At 31.2% G+C, this 14,861-nt stretch overlaps 1 protein-coding gene across 15 annotated transcripts in view; it reads left to right on the top strand.

Moving 5' to 3' along the window:
- The window catches only part of C14orf39 (chromosome 14 open reading frame 39), a 79,589-nt gene that overhangs the window by 47,723 nt on the left and 17,005 nt on the right, over positions 1 to 14,861 (top strand). For 13 of the 15 annotated variants that reach the window (XM_047431324.1, XM_017021250.3, XM_017021248.3 and 10 more), the window contains 7 exons: positions 778 to 905; positions 1,767 to 1,843; positions 6,229 to 6,314; positions 6,410 to 6,468; positions 9,083 to 9,144; positions 10,727 to 10,905; positions 12,677 to 12,821. In XM_047431324.1, the coding sequence (XP_047287280.1) occupies positions 778 to 905; positions 1,767 to 1,843; positions 6,229 to 6,314; positions 6,410 to 6,468; positions 9,083 to 9,144; positions 10,727 to 10,905; positions 12,677 to 12,821 (736 nt within the window). Of the gene's footprint in view, positions 1 to 777; positions 906 to 1,766; positions 1,844 to 6,228; positions 6,315 to 6,409; positions 6,469 to 9,082; positions 9,145 to 10,726; positions 10,906 to 12,676; positions 12,822 to 14,861 lie in introns of those variants that run through there. The other 2 variants (XM_011536703.3, XR_007064008.1) reach the window with 2 other exon arrangements.

Genomic DNA, 14,861 nt, shown 5'->3' with positions numbered 1-14,861 from the left:
TTCCTCAAGTTCCATGGCCCTTAATCTGATTTTTCAACACATTCTTCTGTCGGGTTAATTTCCCTGATCCTACTTTTTTTGGATGTGTTATTTTCTTGATTCCTCCACTCCCATGTACCACATTCAGTGCAAGTGTGTCTTTAATTTTATAATGAAGTTAATTGAAAAAATAGGTAAATAGACAGAATTTTACTTTATTGACCGCCTTTAAGAAAAATTCCATGTATTGACAGAAACATATAAATATTTAGTCATTTTTAACTCAATATATATTCTGACACTGTTTATTCTATTTCTTCAATTTAGATAAAATTTAGTGAAAACTATTCTTTCAGTAAAAAACTTAAAAGACCCATTTATGATTATAATACTGTTTTAACAATTTCTGTATTCATGTTGGTTGATTTATTTCTGAATATGTCTTTTTAAAGTTTAAAGTACCATGAAATCTGAAGCATGCTATTTGTAGTTACAAGTTTTGGCTTAAAATGTTTTTGACATGTGTAGGAAGTCTTTTGCAATGATTATATTTTAAAAATAAGAGTGGACTATATTGAGAAGAGCATTGAACTTAATCAGGGGAAGTGTGTTTTTGCTCTGACACCACTACTAAGTAATTCAGTCATTTTGGGCAAGTCTATTAAATTCTTTGGAACTCAGTTTTATTATCTGCAAAACGAGGGGTTTTATTATATAGTATCTAAATATGCCTCCTAGCTTTAAAATATGTTAATTTTAACTTATCTAATATTTAATGTAATTCACCTTTCTCTTTAGAATTTTTGGAAAAGATGAGCATGTACTTACATTGAATAAAACTCAAAGCAGTCAATTATTTCTTCCTTATGAATCTCAGAAATTAGTAAGACCAATAAAGATGCATTCTTCAGAACCAAGAGTTGCAGGTATAATATCTGTTTGTTATTCAAAAACATCATTTTTTTTGCAAACACACAGAAGAAATAGAAGGAAGCAATTTTATTTATCATTTGGTGTAAGTAAAAACAATACTGGAGACCTATAAACTCAAGAGAGTACTGCTTTGAATCTTTCTGAGAGCAAACAAAATATGTCTTCTATACGTAACTTTTTTCTCTTTGAGAAAGGAATTATTCACACAATAAATTTCAAAAAAAGTGTTCTGGCCTGGTTGCACAGCTGTTAGAGGAGGAGGAAAAATTACATATTTTTCATTTGAGGAGTTGATTATCAATATGTGTGACTTAGGCAGGTAAAAGACTTATGCTAATAGTATCTATAACTTAGTCACTGAGATATTTGAATCAAGTTTCATTCAGTGGCTCTGCAGATTAAATTAACTATTAGGTTGGTGCAAAAGTAATCATGGTTTTTGCCATTGCGTTTAATTAAAATTTAATGGCATTTACCATTACATAATGGTTTTGGCATTAAAAGTAATGGCAAAAATCATGATTACTTTTGCACCAACCTAATACATTATATTAGATTAACTACATTGGCTGGTTTCTTTGTCTTCTCAACCACTCTGTCTTCTTTGGTAACCCATTATAAAGGTACAGTTTTGTCAGTTGGCCTTTTGTCATTTCATCTTCATAGTTATTGTAAAGCTATTATATAGTAAGGAATTAAGAGTTTTAAAATAATTTCATAATTCCGTATTTTAATTTAAATTAAAAATTCATGTAGACTTGATTTTCTAAATTACAAGTTTAGGTTAAACATTGGGGAAGATACTTGATTCTGTTTCCAGCATTGATTTAAAGTAGTACTATTTAATAATCTAGATATAAAAGAAGAAAGTTCTGCGAAGCAGTCAAAGCTTGCCAATATTGACTTTAGACAAAAAGAAAATGATACACAGGTAGGTGTCTCACTTTTAGTAGTATAAATTAAATACCTGCTTGCATTAAATGTAATAATGAATGTACTGCCCTTAAGACACAGACGTGTGTGTGTGTGTGTGTGTGTGTGTGTGTGTGTGTGTGTGTTATAAATTTATTAAATCAGCCATTAGTGCAAACTCAAGGTCTAAAAAATTTAAAGGTGTTTCAATATGGCATTCTGATTATATACTGTAACCTGTCCCCTTATCCCTAAAAATAATAGAAAAAGATATTTTCAAATACCAAGCTCTGTACATAGTAGATCCAAAACTGTGAGAAATCCCTGAAGGAAAATAGCAGGATTGGATTGAAGAGGGAAATTATTGCCCAGGACATGCATAGGAGAATACCGTTCTACAAGATAAAGGTATACGGATGATGAGTAAGGTAATTGGTTGCGTTACCTCAGTGGTAGTTAGTTTACTTAACCCCCTGTTCATCTTATATCCACTGTATCTTTGGCCAGGCATCAGCAATGGAATGACTGTCTCCAGGTGGAAGCAGTGAATATGGAAGTTTAGGTGAGAGAGATAGGCAGGTCCCCTGGGTGGTTCTTGATGCCCATGAAGAACAAGGAGCATACCACCCAGAGAGCTAACTGCTGGTGGCACACTTTTTTATCTTTCCCCATTCTTCCTGAAAATAGTCCAGAGGGAAAGCCTCAATGAAAAATATAATTGTTCTTCCACTGGTAGTGGTGACCAAAGTAATTAGTGAAACTCAAGTGTAAATATGTATAACTTATAAAAATTTTTAAATCTGGTACTGAAATTCCAGATGATGTCAATATGTGATAAGGGTGGAAAGATAAATGAGAAAAATAAAAGTTTACCAGAGTTCTATTTTTTATTTAAGGATAGAGGTAGGGAGAAGATATGAACGCTGATGAACTCTATACATTGTTGGAAAAATGTAAATTTATGCATACATATTAAACATTTAAGGGTAACCACCAGAAGAGAAATGGAATGTGTTAGTTTTAAAACAGTAGAAGAAAAAAGATAAGGCAAAATTAATTAGACCAACAAAGACAGTAATGGGGGTAAAAATAAAACAGTTAGAAAGCATTGTAAATAGAAAACGAATAAGGTGCCAGAAATAGTTCTGAACAAATTAGTAACCACAAAAATGTGACTGGTTTAAACTCCCATTAAAAGACAGAACTACTTCTATGGGATATATAAACAAATACAGGTATATGCTATTAAAGCAGAAGAGCGGAAACAACTTGACATTGAGGCTGAAAAAAAGAAGAAAATATATCAGGCAAATGCAAACGAAAACAAGGCAGATGTAACAATGTTGTACGAAATAGAGTTCAGGGTGAAAAGCATTAATGGGGTAAATATATTTCATATTTTTAAAAAGAACAATTTACCAAGAAATTATAAAAACCACAATACACTAAATTATTTCAAGTTTCAAAATATGTAAAGCAGAGTTTGACAGACTTTCAAAGAAATGGTTGAATACACAGTTAAAACAAGAAGCTGAATATAGCTCTCTCCAAAAAGAGTACTGATTGTGAGTTTAGGAGTTGAGTTTGGCTACATGTGAAATAATACAAAACCAAACCAGTGAAATAATAGCATCTTAAACAAGATAAACGTTTGTTTTTCTCTTACTTGCCATAAAATTCTAAAGTAGGTCATTCAGATTCAGGACTGATAGCATCATCTCAACAATGCCATTATTTCTCAAGCTTCATCTATGTTTTCTTTTCCTGCTATTTTTCATGCTATGCTTTTACCTCTAGGTCACTTCATGGTCAGAAGGTAACCATGTAAATTTGCCTTCCAGGCAGGAAAGAAAAAGGGGAGAAGGGCTAGCTGAGTCAGCCCCATTTTTAAGGATTTTTCCTAGAAGCTCCGTAAACAATTTATGATATCATTTCATTGGCCAGAACTTGGTCATTTGGGTACCTCTATCTGCAGGAGAGGTTGAGAAACAGGGTTTTTTGTTTGTTTCTTTGTTTTTTAAAGTAGAACACAAGGAGAAATTAGATTTTGGATAGGATAGGCAAATGGCAGTTTCTGCCACAGAGGTAAATCAAATAGGGGAAAAATAAATAAGGATTTAGGGAATCTGAATAGCACAATTAGCAAACTTTGTGCCCAACATACACAGAATACAGTTAAGTTTTTATTTGCAATATTCACCAAAAATGACCCATTACTAGAATAAAAAGTATATCTCAACAAATTCTAAAAAGTGCTATTTTCACTTACCATGATTTAAAAAATACAAGTCAAACACAAAGATAGCCCTCTCCCAAAAAACTAGCAAGATAAAGAGGGGGATCTGTATGTCCATATGTCAAAATGTTCATTATTTTTCTTCTTTCATTGAGGTATAATTCATATACCATGAAAGTTACCACTTAAAAGTGTAGATTTAGTGGTTTTTAGTATATCATAAGGTTGTGTAACCATTATCACTCTAATTCCAGAATATTTCCATCACCCGAAACATTTGTAAATATTATCAAAACATAGTAATTATAACAGTGTGGTGAAGGAAAAAGACAAAGTGATCAATGGACTACATAAAAATAAAAAACATATATGATAAGAGACACTAACAAAGTTAAAAGACAATAACAGAATGAGCAAAAGATTGGTATCCACAATGTATACTATATAAAGAAGTACATAGTAACTCTTACAAATTAATAAAGAGATAATAAAAATGGACAAAAAATAAGAAGGCAGTTTATAGAAAAGGAAAGCCAAAGGATCACTAAACATAACAAGATGCCAGACCCCAGGAGTATGGGGAAATGCAAATTAAACCACTGAAGTGCCTGGTTTTACCTATCAGGTTAGCAGACTTAAAATATTTGCTTGGTAACATTTAGTGAGGTCAAGAATAGTGGAAGTGTAATTTGGTACAAGCACTTTGGAGGACTGATTCACAGTATAAATTTATTACAAATAAAAATGTATATACTTAGCAATTCTACTGCTTGACATCTACTCGAAAGAAATATTTGAAATATTTATACAGGTATTTGTACCAGGAGACATATAGAGACATGTATTCTCCTTGCAGGTGTGTCCAATCTTTTGGCTTACCTGGGCCACACTGGAAAAAGAAGAATTGTATTGGGCCACACATAAAATACACTAACACTAACGATAGCTGATGAGCTAATAAATAAATAAATAAAATAAGACCTTGAAAAAAATCTCATGTTTTAAGAAAGTTTACAAATTTGTGTTGGGCCGCAGTCAGAGCCGTTTTGGACTGCATGCAGCCTGCAGGCCGTGGGTTGAACAAGCTTGGTTTAAAGCATACATCAAAACAGTAGCATCACTTGTTCTTTAAAGGAGGTTGACACTTTTTCTTATAGTTGAAGAGCACAGTAAGATGACAGAATTAAGATCAATGTCTGTTATAACAAAAATAAATGAGATAAACTTTTCTGTTAAAACTATATTTTGATTTTGAGTCAAATAACAAAAAGCAGGGACTTTTTAAAATGAGTGATTCAAGGAGAACAAAAGGCTTGAAAGAAACGTTAATAAAATAATGGTTTAGATATTGATATTAAACAATTTGTTTTTGAGACAAAGTCTTGCCGTGTCACCTCCAGGTTGGAGTGTAGTGGCGCGATCATGGCTCACTGTAGCCTTGAAATCCTGGGCTCAATGGATCATCCCACCTCAACCCCACCCTCCCTTCCCCTCTCCCCTCAGTAGCTAGGACATCAGGCTACCAAACTCAGCTAATTTTTTAATTTTTTGTAGAGATGGGGTCTCACTATGTTGTACAGGCTGGTCTTGAACTCCTGGTGCTCAAGTGATCCTCCGGCCTCAGTCCCTGAAAGTATTGGGATTACAGGCATAAGTCACCACTCCCAGCTAGATGTTAATATTAAACAATTTAAAGTTAAAATGGAATAATAGCTCTTTTATGTGTATATAAAAAGGAAAGTTTCAGCTTTTTAATCTTTTAATCTGTTGTTTTGCTTTCCTGTGTTAAATTTGAGAGGTTATAGAGAATGGAGGGACACAGAAATCAGATAATCAGTTGAGAAAATGGTAACATTTAGTTGATGAGTCATGAATATGGGTGGTATAAATTTTAAAAGGTTTATCTTAAATACAGAAATACTACTACAAATCATTACTATACTTGTCAAAAACATTAATTTCTTAAACTTTTTTGTTTCTCAATATTCAACTTAATGTTTTGTATGTAGTGGTTTCAGTTAATGTGTGTAGTTGTTGATGTTGATAATGATGGTAATGATGGAAAGGATGAAATACTAATGAAATGAGAGTTCTGAGTTGCTAACGACAAGCAAAAAATTTTTATTGCTTTGTGTAGCCAAGTCAGATGCTTAATTTCTTTCTTTCAGATATTTAATGACTCTGCTGTGGATAACCATTCAAAATGTTCACATATTACGACTATCACAAGTTCACAAAAGTTTATGCAAGTCAGGTAACTTTTTAAAATAAGAAAATGCTTTAATCTCTGAAATAATTTATAGATATCAACTCAGAAAAAATACAAAAATTATATTTATTCCATTTTAGATTGTTAACCCCACAGAAACAATCAAATTCCAATCAGTGGTCGGAAAAAGGGGATAAAGGTATTTGCCGTTTATATTTTTCTTCTAAGAAGTCGGGGTAACAAATTATATCAGGTTTTTACATTAGTCAAATAAATTGTTTCGATTATTTGCATCTCTGGTTAACTGACCATGCACGCCTGGCTTTAAAATACATCTTCCCTAAATATAGAACAAATACATTTTATTGTAGAATATTTGGAAAACAAAGATATAAAGAAAACAAAAATATCACTACTCAGACATAACTGAACATCATAAATACTGGTGCATACCATTTTTTTCTATGCATTTTTATTCTTTTTCCCTCCAAGTTTGAATCATATACATAATTTTTTATTCTTTTTTCCCACTTGATATACTGTTGAGGTTATTTCTCTATGTCAGTAAATAGGTTTTATTTGTAATGACTGTATAATGTTCCATTGTGTGGATATGCCATAATTTACTTAGTCATTCTTTCATGTGGAATATTTTGGTTTTTTTTCAGTTCTTTTACTATTATAAATAATGCCTCTATATTCTTTTACATTAATCTTTTAATACCTTGGACTATTTTCTTTGAATAAAGTTACCGAAGGATCACAGGATATATATATGAATTTATCATCCCCAAGTCATCTAGCTTTTCTAACTTTGGCACACCCTTGAAAATATGAACTCATTCTCTCTATGTATATACACACACATGTGTATACATGTATGTATATGTATATTAACATAATCACATGTGAGTGAATGTATATATAATGTATACCACACAGATGGATATATATTTTTGGTAAACTAATAATGCATAACAATTGCTCTATTAAAGTATATAAAAGTCTACATCTCTTTTTGTCTGATAACTGACTTTTGTTTTGAAGTTTTAAAAATGCCTTATTCTGACAGCATGAAATAGATATATATTTAGAATGTTAATATACTATGAGTCTTTTTCTCTCACTCAGTATAGGATTCATCCAACACAATATGCTTATTCCACACAGATATTCCTTCTGGGAGAAAAAAATTATATATTACATGTGCAGGTGATCTGTTTTACTTGTTTATAATCTATATATGCCAAACTGACAGAGTGTTAGACAAGGAGGAATAGCTAATCTCTAGGAACATGGGGAAATGAATATATCTCACATAGCCCTACGTGCTGTTGAGCATGTATAGTGAGGCTTCATACCCAAGAATGAATACAATTATTTTGGAACTTAAAATTTTTTTCAATAATTTTCAAACCCAGCTTTTGAAGAATTAATATGTGGTAAAAATAATACCTATGACTTAAATGTAAGAGACAAAAACTATAAAGCTCTCAGAAGATCAAATAGAAAAACATCTTCATGACTTCAAGATAGGAAAGGATTTCTCAAGCATTAAAAAGTCCAATCATGAAAGAAAGATGGAGAAATTTGGCAATATTAAAATTAAGAATTTCTGTTTATCAAAAGATACCATAAAAAGAGTACAAGGGCAAATAATATATTTGAAGTACGTAAAACTTTCAATAGAGTAGTTTCCAAAATGTGTAAAGAACTTCTACAAATGAAGAACAAAAAAGCAGACAACCCAATTAAAAATATGTGCAAAGTATAAAAGCATACACTTTAGAAAAGAGAATCTTTTGTGGCAGATAAACATATGAAAATCAGGTAACTCAAAATAAAACTACAGTGAGGTATCATTACACATCCACCAGATTAGCAAAATTAAAAAAGTCTGACAATACTAAGTAGGAGAATGTAGGACAATAGGAATTCTCCATAAACTATTGGTGGGAACTCCATTAATAAATTACATATTGAGACCATACCTAAATTATAATTGGAGCTAATCATTTTGTCTGGTGATAATGAATGATTTCCTGGAGTAATTCAGAATGACAAATTACCACGAAAAATTGGTACAACCGTTGGGAAAAATTTGGCATCTAGTAAAATGAGAGATATACATACCCCATACCTCATAGTTCCGATCCTAGGTATATACCTAGAGAAATAGAAGTACATACATGCAAGGATATATGTAAAAGAATGTTCATAATATCTTTGGTTGTACATGAAAGCAGAAACACTTCAAATATCCATTTACAGTAGAATGGATAGATGTATTGTGTTTGTGCAATGGAATACTTTACATCAGTAAAAATAAGAGAACTGTGTCTTTGTGCAATAATATGGATGCATCTCACAAGCATATGCAAAACAAAAACCAAAACATAAGAGCATACATATGTTATTTTATTATATAACATTTAAAACAGGAAAAATAGGCTATATTATTTAGATGATAAAACAATATAAAGCAAACTAAGGAAATGATTGTCACAAAAGTCAGAATAGTGATTACCTCTGAGGAGCAAGACATGGTGAATATGAAACCTTTTAGAGTGCTCATGATGTTGTATTTCTTTCCCTGGGTAAAGAAACATGGGTATTCTCTTTATAATTTTGTTTGTTAAACTGTTCATATTATGTTTTATTCTCTTATCTGTATGTATTATGTTGAACCATATGAAGTTGCCATTTTTGTAGGTTAAAACAGCTAAATATTAGCAATTTCAAATGGCGAGACTATGTTTTATTTTACAATAAAATTACAAAAAGAAAAATAGTTTGTTCTCATATGACAACAGATGCTGAGTATGGAGATAAAGGGACAGTAAGACAAGTAAGAGAATCAAAATGTACTTCACAAGTAAGTCAAATGTTTGATCTCTAATTTCTAAGCAAAAATTCCAATTTAAAATATTATGTCTATTTAAATTTCAGATTTAGTACAGTGATTTATGTGAGATGTTGTTAGCTTGGTGATCAGGTTTCTAGAGAGTTACAGATTCTATTTTTCAGATTAAAAGATGAAGCCACAAAAATTTTATATGAAAATATACAAAAATATATTATTCGGCCATAAAAAAGAGTGAAATTTAGTTATTTGCAGCAACATCGTTGGAACTGGTGGTCATTATGTTAAGCAAAATAAACCAAGTACAGAAAGACAAATATCACATCTTCTCACTCATATGTGGGAGCTAAAAAAGCGGGTTTCAAGATGATACAGGATAGATTGGTGGTTACCAGAGTCCAGGAAGGGTAGTGGGGAAGAAGGAACGTAGAGAAGCTGATTAATGGATACAACTATATAGTTTGAGAGAAGAAATAAGGCCTTGTGTTAGATCAGTATGGTGACTACGGCTTACAGCCATCTATTGTACCTGTCAAAATAGCTAGAAGAGAATAATTCAAAGTTTCTAGCATGAAGAAAAGACAAATATTTAAGGTGATGGATATCCCAAGTACACTGATTTGATATTTACAAATTACATGAATGTGTTAAATTATCACATGTATCCCAAAACTATGTACAGTTATGCATCAATAAATTTTTTTAAAAATTAAAAAAACATATACAAAAAGTTATCATCAGTAAGTGACAATATATATTGACTATAACTAAATAATGATTGATGAAAATAATTTTGTTTGGTAAGATTGAATGATTCGCCACGACAATTCAAGAGCAGTGGTTGCCATAAAAGTATCTTGAAAGCATTATTTAAATAGTGGAACACTTTACTGATGATAGATGTAAACAATGTATATCAAGTTCAGTCTAACTATTAAAGGTTAAAATAAGAGAAACAGCAAGTAGTATTTTGCTGTAAAAAACACACGTAATAAGCACATTTTAATTTTTTTGATGAAGAGACCCAAATTATTTCTGTAATGGGATTTGGCATAACAAGCATATTTGAGAAATCATATCACTATTCTACAAAATGACATAAAGGAAAATTAGTATTCAGATTCTCAATTATTGTAGAGAAAGTAGCATAACAGATTTATAGGGTCAAAAAAAGTGTGAAAATGTAATTAATCAATGAGAGCAAGATTGCTTAAAAGTACATCATTTTTCACTTTCAAGGAGATAGCCTATGTAATTGTTCACCCAAAGAGCATATTGTGGAAATTTTAAAAGAAAAATCATTCCTAGTCTTTTTTTTCATCAATTCCAATATGTTCTGGCTGTCATTTACTTTTTCAGGTAGAAGTGGAAGATGGAACTGGAAAGAAAAGAAAAAATTGGATAAATATTTATTTTTCTATATTTTGATATATGTTTTAGTATTACTTTCACCAGTTATTCTTATTTCAGTTATTTTGTCTGTGCAATGTTAACATCATGGATTAATAAGGTATTTTCCACCTCATGCATTTTTATGTATGTCATTAATGCAGCAGCATTTGTTTTATAGTTTTCTGTTACTTTGAATTTGCAGGCTATATATACTGAACATTTTGGGAAGTCAGTAGAAAATGATAGTGATGAAGTAGAAGAGAGAGCTGAGAATTTTCCACGAACGTCTGAAATTCCTATATTTTTAGGAACTCCCAAAGCTGTGAAAGCACCTGAGTCATTGGAGAAAATAAAATTCCCTAAAACCCCCCCGTTCGAAATGTAGGATTTTAATTAATAACTATTGTTAAATTATTTGTATGTTGAATTACATAAATAACTGATAGGAATAGTAAAATGCTTAGTACCTTTAACAAGTTTTTATTATGTAGTATTTCAGACATGCAAAGAAGAGAAAGACTAATATAACACACCTCCATTTACCCATCACCCTGTTTTAACAATTATTAATACCTGTTTTAACAATTATTAATACTCTGCTGTTCCTGTTTCATAGACCCTCTTCCCCATTTTTCCTGCAACATTTAGCTGAAGATGGCATAAATCCCACGTACTTATAAAGCAATAGTGTGTAGATTTGAGATTTTTCCAAAGGATAAAGAAAATTTAAAATGTCAAGCTAAGCCTAGCATAGTGGCATGTGCCTGTAGTCCCAGCTATTTGGGAGGCTAAGGGAGGAGGATCCCTTGAGCCCAGGAATTTGAATCCAGCCTGAGCAACATAGTGAGACTCTATTAAAAAAAAAAAAAAAGTCAAGCTAAAAAGCTGTTGTCACATATGGTAGATTGTAGACTTATCATCAATTAATATTCCATCAGTCATTTCTTCATATGTTGTAGTGTCTGAAGCAAGACTTGCCATTTTTATTAAGCAAGCTCTTTAGGCATAAATATCTCTAACATGATTATTAAATTTTGGAAACCACGTATTTGTAGTTTGCAGCCAAGAAAATAGTGCTGCACTTAACCTTTATGTTTAGTCCATTATCTTCCTTAACAACCCTGAGGTTTCTCTAAAACATATGTCAAGCAGAATTCACTGCATCAGGGTTGTTTTGCATCAGACCTGTACTCTACTTCCGTATTTTAAATTGCTAATAAGAGTTATGGATTTGAATGTCATGCTGTTGACTCAAGCACAGCACATTCGAAATGGAACTCATCATCAAACCTGAGAACTGTAAAATAATGTGAGCTCATACGCTAAGACCTCTCCCCATGGATGAGAAAACTATCATCTGTAAAGTTAAGTGACTCATTTATGGTAATAGAGATAGTTATGGCAGTATCATCAGATTTCTATTAAATTTAACAAACAACAAACTGTGCAAGGCACTGCTCTAGACATTTTATAAATACTGCTCATTTAATATTCACAACAGCCTTATTAGGTGTAGGTACATTATTATCCTTATTTTACAGAAGAGGAAACAGAATCACAGGTGATACAACTAATCAACATTAGAATAGAAATTTAAGCCCAGGCCGTTCTGGCTCTAGAATCCATGCTTTTAACCACTGGTATAAACTGTCTTGTCTAATTATTTTTCCCAAATCATATTATAATTTAACTTCCTTATACATCACTGTAATGGCTGGCTTCTCATCAACACTAAAATCTTGTAACTGGCATTCAAAATCTTGAAGACAGTATAGTGTCAAGGTTAAGAGCTTGGACTTTGAATCGTGATTGCTGCATTCACCTGCCACCTTTGGCACTTATTATTCTTTTAAGCAAATCATTTAACCTTTCTATGCTTCAAAATTCCCTACTGTAAAATGGAAATGATAGTAATAGTACCTATTTCATAGGGTTCTTGTGAAGAATAAGTAAGTTATGCCTTATTTAACTTTATTTAACATTAGTCTCCACCTCATACAATCCTTTCTCGATAGGATTGTCACTTCAATAACTACTTCCTACATTTCCCTACTATGCTAATTCTCACCTCTATGCTGTTGCTTATGATGCTTACCAGTATTCAGTGTTTAATAATAGATTTTTAACATTTTGATAATTTCTTATTTCTCAGTAACAGAAATAGAAATGCAGTACCTGAAGTTCAAACAGAAAAGGAATCCCCTGGACTTTCTTTTCTTATGAGTTATACTTCTAGATCACCTGGATTGAATTTATTTGATTCTTCTGTATTTGATACAGAAATCTCATCAGATCAGGTAATATGAGAAGCCAAAAGTTTTATTTCTAAAAATTCTGCTGTGAAACTTTGAGTAATTTTAGTTCTTTAATACAAAACTGTCTTGGGGCAGATTATCAACAGAAGCATTTAAAAAAATTCTGAGTATTGATGGTATGACAAAGTTCCCTATTACCTTTTTGTTTTCAACTTTGAATGCCTCATATTGACATCTGTTCATTAAAAACGGATCTCAGGATAGGGATAATTTAAATCAGCTAAAGGCAGTTTAAAAAATGAATTTGACTTTATAGTTAATGTGTCTAACTTTCAGACAAACTAGAATTCTCAACATAAAAAATGTTCCATATTATAAATGGGTCTTTTCAACTACATGTGTATACATAGTAGCATTATCACTGGTTAATTTTAAAAGACCTAATATTGGTTTCTACTGTTCAGTGATATGAATCATGATAAAGTGCTTATTTCTATATTTAGAAATTAAAGCTGAAAATTGAGACATGCTTTATTCAAAAAGTAGAAACATTACAGTGTAGTGGTTAAAACTAGACTCTGAAGCCAGACTACTTAGGTGTGTACCAGATGTGGGATTTTGGGTAAGTGGCTTGGTTTCCTTATCTGTAAAATGAAATAATAACTATTATCATAGGGTTTGTGAGTATTAGAGTTTATACACATAAAGCACTTAGAAAAGTACCAACCACTTAATAATCCTACATAAGTTTTAATGTGATATGAGTAATATTGTTATTGCTCATTTAAGTTAATTACATTTAGCCAATTTTATGTGGATTAGAATATTTTATTTGCATATATCTGACATTAAATTGTTGAAATTACAAATTTATTGATGGATGATATAGTACTATACATGTTATAGTATTTTACATCTTCAACTTTTGTCTCATTTTTTATTTAAATGCTTATTTTAAAAACAAGTAATTCCTAGGAGTATGCTAGGCATGAAAGTAGACTATAGTTACTTAATTCTCATTTACAATAATAACATGAATGCAAAATGCATGTATATAAATGTAATAGGAAACATGTACACTTTGAATAAGGAAAACTACAAAACTACTGAAAAAAGTTAATGAATACATAAACACATGCAATACTTGCATAGGAAAAAATATTGTAAAGATAAATTTCTTCCCAATATAATTTATAAATATAGTCCAATTCAAATCTAATTATAATCCTGGCAAGTTTGTATTTAATTTTTTGTTTTGTTTTTATGGTGGTGGGATTGGGGAAGGAGATTGGCAAAATAATTAATAACTGTCCTGGGGGAAAGTGGTCAAGAACTATCAGGAAAATATTGAAAAATAAGATTGATGATAAATTAAAACGAAATTCTAAAAAATTCAACCCCACAAGGTAGAAAAGAAACAATAAAAAAATACACACAGTAAAAAAATCATAAAACAAATAAACTTTACACCAAATAATGTGCTTTTTAATAATTATATTTTGTGAATGGGCTAACACTCATTAAAAGACAAAGATTGTAAGAATGGAAAAAAAAAAAGCAAGACCCAAATATAAGCTATCTATAAGAAACACACTTTAAATATAAAGGCAAAGACGGGTTGACAGTAAATGGATGGAAAATGATGTATCATGAAAACTAAGCATTAGAAGGTCACAGTAGCTATATTAATATCATTTCTGGTAGTCTTAAAGAATATTACTAGAAATGAGAGGGACGTTTCATAAAGATAAAAAAGTCAATTCATAAGGAAGATATAACAGTCACAAATGTGTAAAGCCTAATAACAGCTTCAAAATACATGAAACAAAATGTAACAGAATTAAAGAGAGAAATAGACAAAAATTCAAACATATTGGAGGTTTTAATACTTCTCTTTTAGCAGCTGGTAGAATTAGATAACACAATCAGTAAAGATCTTTAATAAGATCTGAATAACATCATCAATCACCTTGATCTAATTGACCTTTATAGTACATCACATCCAGCAACTGCAGCATATATATTCTTTTCAGGTTCTGATGGTACCTTCAGCAAGATACACCATATTCTGGGCCATAAAAT

The sequence above is a fragment of the Homo sapiens genome, chromosome 14 (assembly GCF_000001405.40).
Source record: "Homo sapiens chromosome 14, GRCh38.p14 Primary Assembly".
In the NCBI taxonomy this organism is placed as follows: Eukaryota; Metazoa; Chordata; class Mammalia; order Primates; family Hominidae; genus Homo; species Homo sapiens.
Note: the sequence above shows the minus strand (reverse complement) of the source record. Positions and strands in the feature narration are given on the sequence as shown.